Source organism: Homo sapiens, chromosome 13 (assembly GCF_000001405.40).
Source record: "Homo sapiens chromosome 13, GRCh38.p14 Primary Assembly".
Taxonomy (NCBI): Eukaryota; Metazoa; Chordata; class Mammalia; order Primates; family Hominidae; genus Homo; species Homo sapiens.
In genome coordinates this window covers 44904294-44924980 of record NC_000013.11, presented here as the reverse complement: position 1 = coordinate 44924980, position 20687 = coordinate 44904294, and the positions used below count along the sequence as shown (strand labels likewise).

Below are 20687 nucleotides of genomic sequence, written 5' to 3'. Positions count from 1 at the left end.
TCTAACCCAGGTGAGAGAGGATGGTGGCTCAGACCAGGGGAATGGGAGAAGTGATCCAATTCTGGGTCTATTTTCATGATGGAGCCAGTAGGATTTTCTGAGGGGTTGGAGGTAGGCTGAGAGAGAATGGAATCCAGGGTGATTCCAGGGTTCTGGCTTGGAACAATGGGGAGAATAAAGCTGCTATTAACTGGAATGGAGAAGATGCAGAGGGAGCTGGCTGGGGAGTGCGGTTGGGGATGGACTCTCAGGAGCTCAGCTTTAGCTATGTGAATCCTGAGGTCCTCATTAATTGCCCATGTGTAGATGCCAAGAAGGTTGCAGCTTTAGAGGGATAGGATGTTTTATGCCTCATGAATCTTCTAGCCTGGTTTGTTGATTGCATGAACCAATCAATTAACCAATCAGTGAACAATAGTGAAGCTCTATCTGAGTAGAGGTTGCAGGGGGAATTGATGAGATTTCTGTCTCTAGACTGGGTTGAGAGAGAGAAACATTAGTTTATTTTTGAACAGCCCCTATTTCTGAAAATGGATAGATGAGGAGGGAAGAAGGGACCAGGGACAGACATCTTCTCCGTTCCAATGTTAGCATCTATGAAGTCTTAGATCACAAAATGTTTATTTTTATTGGTTTAAGAAGATCCCATAACCTCTTCCTCATTCTCCTTTGAAGATGCCATCAGGCTTCAGAATGTATGCTGCCATTGTTGCTGAAGGCATTATCATTATGATTATTTATGACAGTGCCCTGTTTTATGCAATATGCTTATAATAGTAGGGGTAGATTTATTAAGGTATATGAAAATACATTAAGACTCCAGAGATGAAATGCCTGGGTTTGAATCCCGCATCTACTATTTATAAGTTGTCAGACTTTGGGCAAGTTACTTAACCTCCCTATGTTTCAGTTTTCTAATCTGTAAAATGGGAATAATATTGGTACCTATCTCATTGGGTCAGTGTGAGAATTAAATTGTTAATTATTGAAGTGTTTAGAATTATCTGGCACATAGTGAATCCTATATGTGATAGCTATTGTTTTTATATCAAGCACTGTCAAATATATATCGGGTAGTCATGATGAACATTAAACTTGGCATAATCCCTGGCCATGGACCTATTGAAGATTATTGAGATAGATCATCTCACGAGGAAAGAAGAAAATGAGTTTAGAAAGCTCACTCCACTCTGAACTACTGCTGAGAAGTCCAGAAATAAACCAGAAATACCTTTAACCTCCAATACAAGGTCCAACTTGATTTCTACCTAGCACCTCAGGAGCAAAGCAAATTAACTGAGGGTCTCGGCGGGCCATAATTTCAATATTTGAGCAACGGCAACATGGAACAAGAACCTACAATGGTGGGCAAGTTTTCCGGATGTCAGGCCATGAAGTGCTTGGACTCACAATTCCTAAGTGTGTTCTTGAAGAAAAACCAGGTCTGAGCCCTGGTAGGAGCACACAAATGAGGGTGAGTATGATGATGGGCTGGTGAAGCTCTTCCTGTCTTGGGCTATCAGATCAGGTGAAGGGAAGGTAGGGGAAGAAAGAGAGTGTGTGCCAGCGATATTAGGAGACAGGGATGTAGTTTCTTGTTCTTTGTTGTTGTTACTTAAATATTAAAATTATGGCCTTCTGAGACTCTCAATTAGTTTGCTTTGCCACTTCGGTGCTAGGTAGAAACCAAGACTATTTCTCTGAGATGGACTGATTCATTATTGGATGAATGAATGAAGCAAGCGATCAATCATGCAAACATGCACTGAGTGCTGATGATGTGTAAAGAAAGATGCTGTGGAGATATTTTCACCTAGCTGAGGAATAGTTCTCTCTTGTTATATGCTGATTTAAGGGGAAAAGTTACTTTTATAGGAGGATCCCCAAAGAAACCAAGATATTTTAAGAGACTCATTAAGTTGGTGCAGGAAGTCTTACATGAAAAAAATATATATATTAAAAAAAGATTAATTAAGTAATTATGCCCAGATGAAATGCCTGGATTTGAATCCTGCTTCTGTAACTTACTTAATCGCCTATGTTTCTGTTTTCTAATTTGTAAAATGGGAAGAATATTGGTACCTATCTCATTGGGCCATTGTGAGAATTAAATTGTTACTATATTAAAATGCTGATTCATTAAGTCATTATGTGTGCCAAGCACTGTGCTGGAAGCTGGGAATACAACAGAGTAAGACCCAGACTCTGCCATGAGGGAGCTTACTGTCTACCACAGGAAGGGAAACAGGGAACTCCATCCAACCTAATGATAATCCAGAATGAGCACCTCACCCAGCACTGAGCGTTCAAGGATGTTTGCCCTGAGTCACAGAACAAGTAGGAGTTGCTAGATTTGGCACAGAGGGGAGGGGCAGAATTCTATGATCTAAACAAGCCCTCGAGGAAGCTCTGTCATTCCAGTGGCCTCCTGAGATCAAACCCTATTTTAGAAACTGAACCTAGTGTTAGGCCATGAAGATTAATTCACACTGGTCAGCAGGGGCAGGTGCTGTTACTCAAGAGAGCTTTGAGGTTTAACCTTGTGCCATAGGCTGAGTTTGTGCTGGCCAGAGCTGTTCTTGGGAGAGTGGAATTTAATTGGTGCTTATTTGTGATGGCCTTATAAAGCATGACTCCTGGGCCTACTAAAGTGGAAACCATTCTAACTCCTAAATGACTGGCAAACACAAGCCTGAATCACACCCCAGATTGCTTTGGCTAATGGAGATGCCTGGCAAGTACAATGTGTTTGGGGCTTTTTTCCAGTATCAAATGGTGGATAAAATGGGACAGTTGCCCACTGAAAATCAGACCTAGATGCATGGGAACAGGAATAACTGTTTCTTGTGTCAACAAGAAGGCTTTTTTTTTGTGTGTGTGGAACTAAAGAAATGCAGCTCACTTACTGGTCTGGCCAAACTTCAAAAATTCATGTTTTTTTTTTTTTTTTCCTCCTCCCAGGAACATTTTGTTCCTGCTGGTGGTTAAAAGGTGGCAGCTTTCATATAGAAGTACAGCAGGAAGTATTTAAGTTAGATAAAAGGAAGGACTATGTGACAGAATGATTGAGTGCAGGACTGGGTTCCCAGGGGGATTACAAAATCTGATTTTTATTCATGGACTTTCCTACTAAATAACTGAAATAATAAGGGTGGCAAGACGTAAGCTTATATCACCATTTTTTAAAGGTCTGTGCTTTGGGATTCAGAGGAAGCGGGAGGGAGTGCCTTGTGAACAAGAGGACCTGAGGTGACTTCAAAGGCTGAGCTGGCCTTGGGATTGAGGTCGGGCTTGGAAAGAAGAGTGGGAGGGTGGTGTGGAGCAAGGTGGAACAAAGGAACGGGAAGGACAGAGCAGGTCGGGTGATCTGGAATGTGGCCCCTCTGAAGAGGGCTGCGGCGGGATAGTATTAGCAGGCTATGTCAGGGCTGGATTATGGAGAGCCTGGAAAGCTTGCCCAGAGAATTTAGATTTTACTCAACAAGCAACGAGATGCCATTTTTCCAGGCTTTTGAGCAGGAACAGGAAATGATAGAAACTGTGCTTCAGGGATCATGGGCTTTTAGCGACTGAAGGGGATTTATTGTCGTGTGGTTCATTGTTGCTCAAACTCTACTGGCATCAGAATCATTTGGAGGGGGAAGTCCTTGTGAAAATTCAGATTCTCATTTGTAAGTCCTGGGTGGGTGGGGCTGGGAATCTGCAGGTGAAAAAAGCCACTGACGATCCTAATACCAGTGATCTGAGGCCCACACGGGGCAAACACTGCTACCCCCTTCTGTGAGGCCCTGTCCAAGAGGCCCAGGGAAGCCTTTGAGAAACCCACAGAGTACCACTGAGAAAAGGAGTCAGCCCTAAAACAAGTTTAGGCCCAGAGAGCTGGAAGCTGACATTGGACAATGCCAGTTGAGTAGGAACTTCTGTGCCCCACCCCCACTTTTTTTTTTTTTTTTTAGACAAGGTCTTACTCTGTCGCCCAGGCTAGAGTGCAGTGGCACGATCTTGGCTCACTGCAACCTCCGCCTCCCCGGTTCAAGCAATTAACCTGCCTCAGACTCCCAAGTAGCTTGGATTACAGGCACCTGCCACTGTGCCCGGATAAATTTTGTGTTTTTAGTAGAGACGGCGTTTCACCATGTTGGCCAGGCTGGTCTTGAACTGCTGATCTCATGTGATCCACCCGCCTTGGCCTCCCAAAGTGTTGGGATTACAGGCGTGAGCCACCACACCCGGCCCTGTGCCCCTTTTCGTTCCCCTCCCCACACTCCAATCTTGGAGGACCCCAGAGCCTCGAAAGGCAGAAGGCCAAAGAAAGAAAGAAGTGGCTCATTCCTGGTGTGATATTTAACCAGCACATTGCTATTTTTTGACCAGCACACTGGCTTTTCAAGGAAAAAGCCCTGCCTTGTAGCATTTACCTATTTCCATGGGGTAAATACTCCCAGTGTGGCCATCTCAGGCTACCAATATGATGTCACTGAACACAGAGTTAGGAAGAGAAGCCCACCATGGGCTCCTGTGAGGCAGTAAGAGCCTGCTCCAGCAAACCACCACTTCGAGCTGGAAATCATGCCCAAGTTGGGCTGGGGCAAACTATTTGAGAATGAGGACTGAGCTGTTAAACAGTGTATTGCGCTGGATTGTGTTTTATTACTTAAAGTGGCCACAGGGCTCCCAGCACTTTGGGAGGCCAAAGTGGGCCTCCTGAGCCCAGGAGTTCGATACCAGCCTTGGCAACATGGTGGAGCCCTGTCTCTACAAAAAAGACAAGAATTAGCTGGGCTTGGTGGTGAGTGCCACCAGCAGTCCCAGCTACTTGGGAGGCTGAGATGGGAGGATCACTTGAGCCTGGGAAGTCAAGGCTGCAGTAAGACGAGATCAAGCCACTGCACTCCAGCCTGGGTCACTGAGTGAGACCCTGTCTCAAAATAAACAATAAAAATAAAGTGACCATAGGGCTTTCTGCTACTGCTTGAGTTTTCATCCACTGGTAAAGAGAAAAATGGAACAAATTTCAGTTTAGTGATCGTGAGAAACCAAGAGTAAATTCACATTTTGGTTACATCCTAAGGATGGTGCCCGTCCAATGGATGGGTTACTGTGAGAAATTAGATCTTGAAAACCTGTAAGATGTCTTTTTTAAAAAGAATTATCATCAAAGGGAAATATAAAACTGAAAAGTATTTATGAAATCTGAGCCCTCAAATTGAGAACCACAGATGTCAGGTATTCCGTAGTTGAGGGCGTTTGTTTTGGAGAGTTTTCTTTGGTGTTCCAAAGCAAATATCCTCAAAAGGAAAGCAGTTGTCTGATTAAGAAACTCTGTACTCTGTTCAAAGATAGTACAGGAAGAACCAACTAAAATGTGGGTAAGACCTACCTCATAGGTACACTATGAGGATTAAATAAACACATTTGAATGTGTCTGATACACAGAGTAGGTTTGCTGTCAATGCTTCTGGTTTTTTTCAGAGCCACATTCCCATTTTTTTTTCTTTTCTCTTTTTTTTAGACAGAGTCTTACTCTGTCACCCAGGCTGGAGTACAGTGGCATGATCTCAGCTCACTACAACCTCCACTTCCCCGGTTCAAGCGATTCTCCCTGCCTCGGCCTCCCAAGTAGCTGAGATTACAGGCGTGCGCCACCACGCCCGGCTAATTTTTGCATTTTTAATAGAGACGGGGGTTTCTCCACATTGGCCAGGCTGGCCTCGAACTCCTGACCTCAGATGTGAGCCACTCTCCTCAGCCTCCCAAAGTGTTGGGATTACAGGCGTGAGCCACCGCGCCCGGCCCATATTCACTTTTAATTATGTTGGGTTGCGTTCATTCCCTGTTGGGGAGCTTCTTCGTGGTAATGAGTGCGAGGCAGAACAATTTCTATTTCCAGTCTATTCTCGCCCCTCCTCTGTTGAGGATGAATGTCACAGATGAACCTTAGCCTGAGAGGGAGAAGGAGGACCTTCTAAGTCCCTGCGGCAGTTGGGGGTGTGAGGAGTGATCTTAGCTTTTAAGTGGGCTTCAAAGTGTCCTCTGCTAGTTGAACTGTTCGAAACTTCCACAATTTGTCCCCAGACTTCCATTAACACAGTTTCTGCTAGTAAACACAACTTATGTGTAGCTTAAGCCACTGAGGACACCAGAGCCACAGCTCCTCTCCGCCGGCTATCCCCAATGGCTGACTCTTTGCATTTCCCTAATTCAAACAGTAGACTGCTAAGGCATCAACCGCTCCCTTGAAATGCTTCAAATCGAGGAGGGCCTTGGAAACCACACGGAGTTTCCATCTATCATGAACGCCTGCAGTAAGAGACTTTCTCCACTTTTCTAAGCTACATTTACAGACCGCCACTCTGGCTGCTTTCGGTGACACAAATCCTGCCTTCAGCCGCTGAGTCATCAGAACCTGGAATGTTCCAGGCTTCCGGGCAGTTCTCATTCCTGTTTTTTCAGAGGAAAAGATCCACTTTCAGGGACGGGGTGGTGCCTGTGGCCAGCCTGGACCAGCGCTGAGGGGAGGGACAGATTCGGGCAAGGCACTGCGCGTCTGTGGCACACACCCTGTCGGCGGACACCGGCCAGTGCAGCGTGGCCTCCACTGCGCGGTGTTATGACGCCCCGTGGTCCTCACTTCTTCACCAGCCTCTAACATTCAAACCCCAGTTCTTTTGGACTTTGCAGGAGTTTTGTGAGGAATTGTGAACAATGACTCATCCAATCTAGTGTCTACATTGGTGTCGACATGGTACCTAGCACCAGGAGACTGGATGAGATCACGAAAGACGCGAGAGTAGATTGAAGAAAGATTCAAGGGCCCCTGCAAGGAGAGAAACAGTAGAATGCGAACCTGAACGGTTTAAACCGCTGCAGACTCCGCGCAGGCGCAGGAGCAGGTTTGACGCCTACGGATGAACGCGATGGAGTGGGCGGAAGCCGACCGAGAAGACTCAATTTGTCTAGGCTTGGAGTCGCTATTGCCGTCTCCCACATGGTCTAGCGGTTAGGATTCCTGGTTTTCACCCAGGCGGCCCGGGTTCGACTCCCGGTGTGGGAACGCCGAAATTTTAGACTGGCGTTCAGTCGATTTAGATTCTTCCTAACTCGGAAAAGGCATGTTTTTAACCAAAACTGTAATTCCATTTCAAAGCACGAGGGACACATCGGGGCTGAAGGGAACCAAGGAGCTACCCCTGGGGCGGGTGTGAGGTTCAAGTGTGCTCAGACCCTAGCCACCTGCGGCAGGCGGCGGAAGGGACGTATCTGGCAACAGCTTGAAGTCAGTTTTTGAAGTGAGAGATTAGGTCAGAGGTGAAGGAAAGCGGGGGAACCAAGCGGTCGCATGCCGAAATACACCCGCTGGTTTTTCTCCAGTATTTTCTCCTTGTACTGTGAAGATGAGCAAATGACCAAAAGAGTGCTCTTTTTTGAAAGAAAAAGGAAAGATGCAATTTTAGAACATTATAGGGTTTTTTTGTTGTTGTTAGGAGGATGCTGGGAGAGGGAGGGAGGCATTGCAGGGCTTTTAAGTTACCTAAAGTCATTCTAGGACAACAAGATTTCTAGAAAATACATATATTAAAGGCAGGGTAGTTCAATGTACAATTTGTTGTGTTTGTGATGCAGAGAGTTAACTAAACCAGTTTGGAAGGCGGGGAAGAAAATTAGGTTATAACAAATACTGAGGCTCCAGCCGATGGCAAAACAAAACAAAACAAAACGAAACCAAAACATTTTACTCTTGATATATTTATTTGACACATTGTTTTAAAAAAACTTTAAGAATTTGTGATATGCTAGATTAGAATTAGAAGTCTTAGTATTGACTTGTGACAGTTTCCAATTGTTATGCAAATAAATGCATCCCTTTGTTATTAGATGAGATTATCTAAAATGAAGACTATATTTAAAGACTAAAATAAAGACTATAATTTTTTTTGTTTGTTTTTTGAGACGGAGTCTAGTTATGTCGCACGGGCTGCAGTGCAGTGGCGCGATCTCGGCTCACTGCAAGCTCCGCCTCCCGGGTTCACGCCATTCTCCTGCCTCAGCCTCCCGAGTAGCTGGGACTACAGGCGCCCGCCACCACGCCCGGCTCATTTCTTGTATTTTTTAGTAGAGACGGGGTTTCACCGTGTTAGCCAGGATGGTCTCGATCTCCTGACCTCGTGATCCCCCTGCCTTGGCCTCCCAAAGTGCTGGGATTACAGGCATGATCTCGCTCTTGTCCCCCAGGCTGGAGTGCAATGGCACGATCTCGGCTCACTGCAACCTCTGCCTCCCGGATTCCGGCGAGTCTGCTGCCTCAGCCTCCCGAGTAGCTGGGGTTACAGGGGCCCACCACCATGCCCAGCTAATCTTGTATTTTTAATAGAGATGGGGTTTCCCCATGTTGGTCAGGCTGGTCTAGAACTCCTGACCTCAGGTGATCCACCCACCTCGGCTTCCCAAAGTGCTGGGATTACAGGCGTGAGCCACCGCACCGGGCCTATTTTTATTTTTTGATTATTATTTTAGATTATTTTACTCTCAGATGATATTATTATCCCTGTATCAATCGCGGCCCTGTAGGAAACTCGTGATATATTCTTAGCAGAGTGCTTAATCAAGGATTATTTAAGTTTTTCTTAGGGTTTAGGGAAACAAGAAGGGGTAATGCAGCTCTCACAGCTCCTGAGCCTAAGGGGCAAGGCCAGGGAGGATAGCTGATGCCGGGGGCTGCCAGGCAGAAGCTGTGTAGTTTTTGTTTGTTTTAAACTTGTTTTTAGGCCAGGGGCAGTGGCTCATGGCTATAATCCCAACACTTTGTGAGGCCGAGGTGGGAGTATCACTCGAGCAGGAATTGGAGACCAAGACCAGCCTGCACAGCGTAAGGAGACACCGTCTCAAAAATAAAAAAATAAAAAAAAAAAAAAAATTTGCCAGGCAGTGGTGCGTGCCTGTAGTCCTAGCTGCTCAAGAGGCTGAGGTGGGAGGATCGCTTGAGGCCAGGAGTTCGAGGCTGCAGTGAGCTATGATTGCTGCTGCACTCCATTCTGGGCTAGTGAGATCCTGTCTCCAAAAAGCAAGACAAAACTGCTTTCAGATGGCAGGTGAATTCCATTTATATGAAGGCTGTCATGTCTACTCATCCTATTAATCATTCATTTTCATAAAATAGAGTTTTGACCTCATGGATTTGACAGAAGCTTTCTTGAGATGGCTGTAATATTTGGTGGACTCAGAGCATAGTAGATATTTCTGAAGACAGGTACTTAATGATATGAAAGGGTTTCACTTTGTGGGGAGATGGTTACTTCAGTTATATTTGGCATTTTTATGGCTTTCCCTTTTTGTAAAACATTTTGCCATAACTTCCATTCATCATCCTCATAGTCTTTAGATTCATAGACTATTTGAGCTGGAAAGGCCCTTAGCAGTCGTTTAACTTAGACCCTCGTTTTACCCGGGAAACATCTATTCTGAGATTTTATTTCTCTGATTCCCTAGTATTGGACTTTAGATTGTATCCACAAAAGATTGAATTCCTGTCTGGTGCTCTAGCCAGACACCACTCTCTCCAAATCCTGGCGTCAAGGAGCGGGGCTTAGGGGGATTGAGTGCAGAGAAGATTCAATTATTTTTATTTATTTATTTATTTATTTATTTATTTATTTATTTATTTATTTTGAGATAAGGTCTCCCTCTGTCACCCAGACTGGAGTGCAGTGGCGCGATCTCAGCTCACTGCAATTTCTGACTCCTGGGTTGGAACGATTCTCGGGTCTCAGCCTCCTGACTAGCTGGGATTTTAGGTGTGCGCCACCGCACCCAGCTAAGTTTTATGTTTTTAGTAGAGATGGGATTTCACCATGTTGGCCAGGCTGATCTTGAATTCCTGACCCCAAGTGATCCGCCTGCCTCAGCCTCCCAAAGTGCTGAGATTACAGGCGTGAGCCACCGTGCCTGGCCAAAAAAATATTCTCTTGTATTTTTGGTCAGTGTTCACAGCATAGCTGCATAAACATAGTAGTAATTTTTCTACGTGAAGTTTTTTTTTAAAAAAATTCATCATATATAATCATTTCTAGAAAGTGATGAGCTTAACCTGTTTGGGGTATTTGAACTAACCATGTGTTCCTGTATGCTTTCATTTTTGCATATAGTCATAAACTCTGATGGATTCCACATGAAAATTGCTTTGTGCCCCTCAACAAGTGTATTTATAGTCATGCAGATTCATATGTATGTTCCCTCAGAGTATATCTGATGCCGCATGCAAAAATATCCTAAATAATTACATTAACACTTCATATATTAATATGAAAGCAAATATGAATTTTAACTCACCCACACTGTAAAGCTGAATAACTTGGAAAAACACTGACTACTTGGAAAATCACTGGAACAAATAATCAAAAAATCAATTTGCAAACTTCTAGAAGACCACAGGGCACTGGGTAATCATCCCACATTACTTTGTGAAAAACAAAGCTTATCAGATGAATCTAATTTCCTTTTGTCGCAGAGTGACAGCCATGGTAGATGGGGGAGCAATCAACATAATCTATCCTGATTTAAGAAAGCTTGGGATTTTGCAACTTGTTGTGTACTCATTAAGAAAATGTAGGTATGGCCGGCATGGTGGCTCATGTCTGTAATCCTAGCACTCTGGGAGGCCGAGGTGGGTGGATAGCTTGAGCTCAAGAGTTCCAGGCCAGCTTGGGCAAAAAAGCGAGACACCCTCCCAACCCCGGCACCGTCTTCTACCCCTCCCCGCCGCCCGTCTCTACAAAAAACACAAATCGCTTCCTCCTGCCCCTCGTCTCTACAAAAAACACAAAAAAATAGCTGGTGGTGCACGCCTGTAGTCCCAGCTACTCAGGAGGCTGAGATGGGAGAATGGCTTCAGCCTGGAAGGTAGAGGTTGTAGTGAGCCGAAATCGCACCACTGCACTCCAGCCTGGGAGACAGAGCCAGACTCTGTTTCAAAAAAAAAAAAAAAAAAAAAAAAAAAAGAAAGAAAGAAAGAAAGAAAATGTAGGTAAGACTATTCCTGTTTCATAGGGATACAGTCAAACTGAAGTTGGGGGCTCAGCTTTATGCAAATAGGCAACTTCAACACAGTATGTGCAAAAGTGACCTCTTTCTCCTTCCCAAGTCCTTTTCTACTTGGATTACTTATTTTTTAGTGTCATCCAAGATCTCCTTGTTTGAGTTACTTAATCTCTCTGTTCCTCAGTTTTCTAGAATCTAACGTGGGGATAAGAATGGGACCTACTTCATAGGGTTGTGAAGATTAAATGACATAATGCGCATAAAAGGCTTAGCCCAGTTTAAGGCCATCACCGTCATCATCATCACCATCATCATCATTGTCATCATTGGCATGTTTAGTCCCTCTTTCTCCTCCACTCGCACCACGTCTAATTAAAGCTTATTTTATTTTACTATTTATTTATTTTATTATTTTATTAAATCTTATTTCTACCTCTTCAGTTATGCTCACATATATTCTTATCTACTTCCCTGGCCACTCTGCTGGTTTAAATCATCTTGTTCTCTGGACTATTGCAATAGGCACCACACTGGTTTCCCTGACCCCATCTTGCCCATCTTCTCTATCTTGCATTCTCCTGGCTGTTACAGCGCAGAGCTGAACATGCTGCTTCCCTGCCCTAAACCCGAAGAGCTTTGTCTTGCTGAGTGCTCCCAATCTGCCTTTGCAGCCTAATTCCTACCTCTTCCCTCCATGTATCCTAGATTCCTGTTAATTTCACACTGTTTCCTGTATCTGGCCTTTACTCAATTTTTCTTCTACTTGAGACGCTCTTATGCCCTTTCTCTAAATATCTACATCTTATCCATCCTTTAAGGCTCAATTCGAACATCACATGGTTCCTATAGCTTCCCTTACCTCTCCTGTGGATGCTGGTTGCTTCTGATTCCCATGGCATCTTGTGTACTTCTCTTCCTATACTTACTCCTTTCTAAAGTTAGGTCCTAGCTTAGATGTCATTTCTGCCCTGACTGTGGGTGAGATGCTTTCTCTGCACATTTCCCTCTCATTGCATTTACCACACTTGTTGTGGCCCTGCTAGATTTTACTCTCCAAGGCCAGTGCCGTGCACACAGTAAACACTTAATAAGCATGTGTTGAAGGATGTGTGAGCAGGACAAGGACTTTATTGATTGGAATACCTTAAGTTTCAAGTTACAGAAAGCCATTGGAACTCCACTAGGGGAGGATTGTTGGCTAATGTAACCAAACTGTGTGAAGTAGAATGGGATGGCTGGCCTTGGGGACAATCAGAATCAGTGTTTTCTCTCTGTGTGTCAGATTTATTCTTAGCTATCATGGACCAACTGCTTCCACATGGCAAGGGATCTGGGCACTCTGGCTCAGTACTCATTCCTCCCAGCTTCCCCACCCGAGAAGGAAGGTCTTTCTTAGTTTCTGTTGGAAAGTGCTGGGGGAATGTGACCTCGCCTAGGCCCTGGGCCCTGCCTAGGGTTGATGAATATGGGGTATTATGATTGGCAGCTCCTATTAGAACCACAAGGTAGAGAGGAAGGATGAACTGGTATTAAAGTTAAGCCAGAGAAATTAAAATAGTGGTAGTTTAACATAAAGAGTGGTGATTTACCATATTTACAAGGTTGCACAACTTTGTAAACATACTAAAAAGCCCTGAATTGTAAAAGACTGAATTGTATGGAATCTGAATTATATCTCAATTAAGAAAAAATTAAGCCAGAGATGAAATCTTGCTGGCAAAAATAAGCATTTCTATATTCTTTATATTTGGGCTATTCATGTATTCAGCAAACATTTACAGTGTGTCTAGTATGTGCTGGCAGTTATCTAGATTTACACTGTAGTGGGAAATAGCACACGCACAAACACACAAAAAGGGTAAGAGGGTTGGATTTCATTCTAAATGTGATGGGAAAGCTCTGGAGGTTTAGGGGTGGAGAGAGGTCCACCCCCTGGATGAGGACCTTCTGGACTCTAGGGCCTTCTGGCTGGTGCTCTGCTGTGGTCAGCACAAACCACACCTTGGAAGGAAGATGAGACTGTTTTAAGAGGTCTCTTGAGATGGATTCCAGAACCCTCATTTTCAGAATTTGGCAATTTTGTCCTAAAATAAAGTTTTCCTTGTGGACTAACCCAGATCACAGTATGCTTTGCTTTAAGGCTATTTGCCCAGATTTAGCAAATCTGCAATATTTGAGGGCACAGTTTCAAGACTGCCCTCACTTCTAACACCAACTGCAAGTTTGGGGGAGTTTCCAATACCACCCTCAGGTTTGATGATGTTCTAGAAAGATTCCAATAACTCAGTGGAAGCTGCAATATTCACAGTTATGGTTTACTGCAGGGAAAAGACAGAGACTGAAATCAGCCAAAGGAAGGGACAGAGTCTGGGAGGGTTCTAACTGCAAAACTTCTGTTGCCCTCTTTCCATGTGGAGTGTGTGGGCCCTCCTGATACTAATGTGTGACAAGATACATGCAGTATTGACAACCAGGGAAGCTCACCTGAACTTTGTTATCCAGAGTTTTTATTGGGGCTTCATTATGTACGCATGATTGATTGATTGTCTGTGTGATTGAACTCAGCCTCCAGCTTGAGTGATACCATGTGACACAAAGCCCCCACTCTAAGGCACATGGTTGGTCTTTCTAGCACGACTACCTCCCACCCTAAGACTACTGAGTATGGCCAGCCCCACCCTACAATCTGAAGGGATCAGCCCCTGCCTTAAACAAAGATCCTCCTATGAGAAATGACATAGATTTCATCCCAGAAGATGAAGGCAAAGGCCAGACCTCTCTTTGGGCAAAGCCAAATTCTTTTTTTTCTTTGTTTGTTTTTTGAGATGGAATCTCGCTCTGTCACCCAGGCGAGAGTGCAGTGGCGTGATCTTGGCTCACTGCAACCTCCACCTCCTGGGTTCAAGTGATTCTCCTGCCTCAGCCTCCTGAGTAGCTAGGATTACAAGCATGCACCACCACACCTGGCTAATTTTTGTATTTTTTAGTAGAGATGAGGCTTCACCATGTTGGCTAGGCTGGTTTTGAACTCCTGATCTTAGATGATCTGCCTGTCTCAGCCTCTCAAAGTGCTGGGACTATAAGTGTATGCCACGACACCTGGCCTACCACTCATTATTTCTTCCAGTTTTCTTTTCAGTAGAGATGAAGGAAGAAGGATTGTCTATTGCCACAAACTGTTTGCCAAAAGATAGGTAAGTGTTCAGAGCAGCAGCTCAGGGGAAACCTGGAACATGCTGGTTCTGACCTCTCTCCATCTTTTCTCCCAACTTTCCAAGGGGAAGTTCCCAAAAGAGGGGTAAGGAGGGGCTGGGAGGAGCAGCAGCTTTTATGGGAGGCCTGCCTTGTGTGCCCTGAATTTTAAAATGGAAACAGTAGGTCCTTGGGGTGAATCTGATGCTGGGGATTTCTGCGTCATCAGAACTGCAGGTTAGTTGCGGGGATGACGCCCGCATTAGGATTTCCACTGGAAGCTTCAAAGCAGTTGCAGAATTGGAATGCTGCTGTGTGCAGCAAAGGGGGGCCTGTCAGAACTTTGCCTAGATGTTGCAGCACTTAACAGTGGACCTGGGGAGCTCACCTTGCTGTTGTCAGGGAAGCCCCCAGTGGGTTTTGGCTCTGTTGGCTGAACACCTGCAGCCCGTGCAGTTGCACCACCTTCCACCTGACTCTCTCATTATGCATAAGCTTAGCGAATCTAAGCATCGACCTCACCATTTATTTCTTGCCCCTGGGTGCCTCTCCATCCAGTGCTGTTTTCCACTGTAAGCACTCATACAGGGGGATTGTCTTCAATGTGTTCATTGAGTCTAAGGTAGGAGCAGTAAACTTGACAGTTATCAGAAGTTGGAGTAATTTTCCATAACCTGTGCTCATTAATGTCCTGATTGGGGTTAATTGATTCAGGGGAGGTGGAGAGAGAGCGAAACACTAAGAGAAGTGAAGGAGGAATAATCAGAATTTGGCAACAGCTTGGTGGTGGGGCGTGAAGGGAAGGGATGATTTGTTGACAACCCCAAGATGATAAGCATCCCCAGAGAGACAGAGAAGTGGGGCAGAGAGAATGAGATTTGTCTCCTCTGACAAATTTGAGGCACTGCTGGGATATCTAAATGGAGCAACCTAAGAGGGCAGGAAACACAGACTGGAACACCTTTGAAAGCAGACACCTCTGGGGGCAACTGTAATTTCCAGGCAAATAGGAGGCTTAGGGGTTTTCTAACTGAGCAGTGCCTGGCTGGTGCGATCACGGAGTGGTGGAGGAAGGAGGGAGACTGAGTGTGTGCACCAGCAGGTGTGACAGGTTCTGTCGTGTATCTGGCCTTCAGTGACAGAGATAAACTTTGGCATAGAATCCTCTAGACCTGCAGTGGCAGACATCTTGAGAGTAGCAAATGTGCACCACATGGCTCAAAGGACCTGCCTGTCCATTGCAGTCATTGTAGATTTGATATTTATTATGATCATTTTCCGACAGATGGAGTAAAGTGCCTTGAGGAAGATGTGATTTTTAATGTTTGCAACATTACAGTATGAGCTAACAGGGGGTCTGGGGTGCTTGTTACTCCATTTTTCACAAGTCTTGGTCAATAAAGCCTGCAAATTTTCCAATCCCTTCTGATCTTGTTATATTATGTGAGGAATCAGTCAAAGAACCTGACTCCCCAAAGACCCTGCAATAATTTTGTAAATGCTTTAATGTTGGCACTTAGCATCTTGCAGGCTCTGCGTGTGACTGTGGGATACACTGGGAAGGTGAATTGGTACACATTTCGTGGAAAGTTGCTTAGCATGTAATACATAGTAAGAGCCATAAGCATGCCTTTCCTTTCACTTGGTAATTCTACTTCCAGAAATCTACATCTTTGATACATCAAGTATCAAAGAAGGGCAAAGATACAGATTATGAACAATGATGAACAACAGCATCACCCGCAATGATGGCAGAGAAGGGACAAGATTCCAAGCCAGCTGTGCTGCACCACTTCCTCCCCTCCCCCAGGGCAAGGCGGGTGGTCCCTCTTCTCACCCTGAAACGAAACCTAGATGCCTTGGGCCTTGCACAGGAAATGCTATTTTGGTTATAGGTGATATTTTTTAGTAAACAAAAAGTGTCAACCACTCACAAAATGCTCTTCTCTAGCATTTGAAGACTTTTTAACCGCATAACCTAGATCCCGTTGATTTTTTTCCTCTGGGTAACTTCCCTCTTGTCAGAGTGCACCTTCCCTTATTCTCTCGCAAATGAAAATTGAAGGTGTTTTGTTTGTTTATTTATTTATTTATTTTTTAAACTTAAATTCTTGTAAGGTGGAGTCTTGGTCTGCTATTCCTTAGCTGGGTGTGGAAGGCCCTGGGGAGATTTATCAGAATGAATTTCTATATCGAGAATTACAATAATTTGAGCTCTTATTTAAGGGTTAGCAGAAACAACTGGTACTTTCACAAGCTGGAAAGAGGCCAATGTCAGATATGACAAATACAGTAATAAAAAGGGAAAATAAAATTCACTTCCTAGGAGGCTCAGCAATAATAAAAACAGAATGAAAAGCTTGGATATTTAGAGAGAGGTTCTGTCTCTCACATATATATGTATGTGTGTGTGTGTGTATATATATATGTATGTATATATATGGATTTCTTCTCCAGAGTGGTTGTCTCTCACATATATATGTGTGTATTCATATATGTATATAAATATATATATATATAAAATCATTCTGCTTGTAAGAAAGTTAGACCCTAAGTGTTCATGAATGTCTAGTCTCCTGTTACTCTTGTCCTCATGTTGTGTCCCCCATAGAGCAAACAGACCTCCAAGAAAGGAAGATACAGTGAGTAAGACCACAGCTCTAGGCCTAGCATGGTGGCTCACACCTGTAATCCCAGCACATTGGGAGGCCTGAGGCAGGTGGATCGCTTGAGGTCAAGAGTTCGAGACCAGCCTGGCCAACATGGTGAAACCCCATCTCTACTAAAAATACAGAAATTAGCTAGGCATGGTGGCGGGCCCCTTAATCTCAGCTACATGGGTGGCTGAAGCAAGAGAATCACTTGAACCCGGGAGGCGGAGGTTGCAGTGAGCCGACATTGCTCCACTGCACTCCAGCCTGAGCGACAGAGCGACTCTGTCTCAAACAAACAAACAAACAAACAAAAGCTACGGGTCTTATCTCAAGTAAATTATTGTTAAATTTTAAGCGTTCTGCAACTTCTTGTGAGCCTATTATTATTTCAAAACAAAGTTTTAAAAAGTTTAGTGAGAAGAATAAACATAAGGAACCTATAGATTATGTGGGTTCAATACGCTGACTACCACAACAATCTGCCAGCGGACCTAAGTGCATGACACAAAGACAAAGGTAGGTCACTGCTGAATGAGGGTGATTGGCTTGGGAGTCAGTGGTAGAAAGGAGTCAGAGGGCCTGGAAGAGAATACCTATGCTTCCACTGCTCCATCAGCACATAGACGAAGCAGCTGCTGTATTCTGTTGGTTCTTTAGTTTTGAGTGACCAGGTGTAGATGTGAGTCCCTGGCATCGCAGTTCTCTGTTCCCTTCCTCACCACCAATTGCTTCCTTGTTTCACCCAAAGTTGAACTGGGTGAAACAAGTTCAACAACCCTTGGAGATGTTCTGAGGGATCAACCGTGCAGCCAGTGCAAGATTCTTTATGAAGTTCGTGTCACAGATTCATTCTCCAGCTTCTGCTTGATCCATAAGCCCCTGGCAAGCAAAATGAACTCAATGACCAGACACCAAGCAAAAAGCCTGATACTGGGGCATTGTTACTTCCCCCGTTCTGGCAGCCCTGATGCTCCTGCTAAACCCAACCTTCTCTAGTGAGTTTTCCAACTAGTTCAAATTATAAAAAAGCCAGCAGATCTGGGCACAGAGCCTTGGCTACTTTCACCAGCCGTTTTGAGTCCAAAAGCTGGTTCCTCGTTGTAAGTGGTTGCCCAGCACACGGCTCTGAAAGGAAACCTTCACAAATCCTTTTCACTTGGCCTTGTAACTTGAGCTCACGCTCCCTTTCTGGCAAGGACACTGTGGAAAATTCCCTGTGCATAGAGAGCTGGCTCCAATTCCCAGCAATTCTACGAAGTTCTCTGTAATGGTAAAAATTGGAGCAGCTTAAACATCTCCAAAGCACGGAGATCTAAAAGAGTACCTCAGGCACTGATGACAAGAAACAGAGAGTCCTGCTTTTCAGGATGGAGCTTTTAGAAGTCAGAATACATTTGCCATCAAAGGTTGTCACAGTGACTGATTCAGCCTGGAGAGTACTGCACATTAGCAAGCGCTTAATATTTGGAATTTCTTGGTAGAGCTGTCCCAGCCCGTGTTACCTTTCTTTAGGTTACCTTTCCTATTTTCTGTAATCATATGCAAACAGCTACAAGTTTGCAGAGAAATAAAGCTGGTGGGGAGGGGAGAGAGTTAGTTAGCCCTGGGGAGCAGCGTCAGCCTTGATGCATGACTTGGGATGACTCTGCCAATGTGTGACCTTGGGGAAAGTTCTGTATTTTGTTCAAATCCCGGCATCATCTATAGAAAGCAATAGAACACACAGTGCCTGCCTGATAAGGTTAATGGGATGATGGCTAAATTAGCTAATGTGTGTGTGTGTGCATGCCGCCCAGTTGGCACACCTGTATTCCTACCCCTCCTCCCTCCTCCTCCTCCTGCTATTCCTCTTCTTTTCTCAAACTGTGATTTTCAAGGTGTTTTAACTGCTGGAACTTTTAAAAAATTCAATCAAATATGCATGTAGAATCACACACAGAAAACAGATAAAAACTCAAGCTGCTGCAAATGAAGCACTGATTCTGTTCCTTCTTCCTCCCCTTAGCAGTGGCTTCCACAATTCACGAGCCATAGAGATGGCTTTTCTCATTGCCTGGGAGTCCCTGCAGGGCACATGGGATTGGATCGCAGGCCCCTGGCTGCTCCCCATCTTCCGTGGCCCCTGCCTCCCAGATCTGGGCACCTGAAACCTTACCGTAGAGGGCTCTGTGTGTTTGGGGTTTAAATAAAAGCCCTCTGGACTTGAGTCCTTTCCATTCCAAGTGTTTTTTTCTGACGAACTCATTTTCCAGAGGAACGGCTGGGCTGCCTGAGAGATCTTTGCAAGCCTGAGACTTCTTTGTTCTTGTTTAGCAGTTTGAGGAGAGCTGTATCCATTCTTGTTTTGTGTCCGTGTGTCAGGAAGCTGGGAGGCACTTGGTGTGCACAGCCTTTTACTTGGGCTTATGTGTTTACCAGGATTTTATTGGCACATGGAAAAGAGTGATGGAATGAGGTATGCTGGTGTGTGAAGGGGTCAAAGGGTAAGTCACAAAACACTTGAATGTGAACTTGAACTTGCTGTTGTGTGTTCAAGTACCTCTCGGGGTCTGAAGGCCTGTCTCTGGAGCATGGCCTCAGTGTGAGGCTGTTTCTGCAGGGCCGACCTCAGAAGGCAGCCACCACAGCTAGAATTAGGCAGAGAAACCCCTAGAACTGTAAGGGCTCCAGTACTTCCCCACATAACTCGTCCCTATCCAGCCTCCCTCTCATTTTGGCCTACTGTTTCTTGCAGGACCATCGAGAGCCTTGATGGAAGCGGCATATCCCTCACCCCCAGGGAGGAGCAGACCAGGGCTGGGAAAAGGGCTTCTCTCCCTTTCTGTGGCTCTGATTATAGATGCTGGACTTGGAAGATGAGGACGGGCTGGAGTCCTGCCCTGAGCTGGGAGTTGGAATGTACAGTAGTGCTTTCAAGATCTTAGTCATCAGTAAACAGAGCTATTATGCGCTGTGTCTGGATGTGTTCTTTCTTCTGCTGTGTGGCCTGTGGTTGCCATGGATATGGCTTTGTCTTCGGAGGCCCATAACCAAGGAGGATTTAAGTAAAACCTGATGGGTCAATATTTCCATAAAACAAAACAAAACAAAACAAAATAAAGAAAGAAAGAAGAAAAGGGGCCACTTTCTTAAATAACTCCAAGAAAATCCTTAAACAGTTCCGAAATTGTGACCAAAACAACAACAAAATCCTCAGGCTTTAGTTGCCAGAACCTAAACGGACACACTTTTTAAAAAGTACTCAGAATTAAAAAAGATGAGGTCTATTGATGGCTCTGATTGCAGCAAGTGAAAATAATGGCATTTCCCCGTTGAGTGTTTTGGACAATATAAAGTTACATTTTTTTTCCCAGCCAGTGCTTATTTTTCAGAATGCTTCTCGATTTGCCATTTGTAAGATGTGTCATATTCCAGCATATAAATGAACCTGTGTTTCAAGCAAACAATTGTTGTTTCTGTCTGACACAGGGGATTCGGTGACATTTGGTAATGAGTATGGAAGATGGGTAGATTGAATTAAGGAGGCTAAAAAAAGGAAAGAAAGAAGAAAGACTCATTCCTGCATAGTAACCAAACAGCTCTGCATCTTTGTTTGAAAACACAGGCATACCCTCTGAGATTCCTTATAAGTCACTCTAAAGAGAGGTGCTTGGTAAAGCAAAGGTCAGAGGCTGGGAGCTGGGGTACAGCCACCACTCTGCCATGATTGGGCTTTTTGCTCAAGGACCATATGCGTTTTACTGGGATGCTCTTTGGTTATGTTTCTCTATGTTTCCAGAAACCACACGCCCAGGCCAGGAAGAAAGC

General features: G+C 44.6%; 1 long non-coding RNA gene and 1 other non-coding gene across 2 annotated transcripts, besides 1 other annotated feature; both read left to right on the top strand.

Annotated features, from left to right (window-relative positions):
• Positions 1–19829, top strand: LOC107984619 (uncharacterized). Its single transcript, XR_001749860.1, has 2 exons — positions 1–1474; positions 19615–19829. It is a non-coding gene; the product is annotated as an uncharacterized LOC107984619 (long non-coding RNA).
• Positions 6148–6477: an enhancer, noted in NCBI's record as "active region_7675". NCBI's record gives its function as "activates an Ori minimal core promoter by ATAC-STARR-seq in GM12878 lymphoblastoid cells {active_cell/tissue: GM12878}" and the evidence as "EXISTENCE:reporter gene assay evidence [ECO:0000049][PMID:35858748]".
• Positions 6983–7054, top strand: TRE-TTC2-1 (tRNA-Glu (anticodon TTC) 2-1). The gene has a single exon. It is a non-coding gene; the product is annotated as a tRNA-Glu (tRNA).
• Positions 19830–20687: the final 858 nt, after the last annotated feature.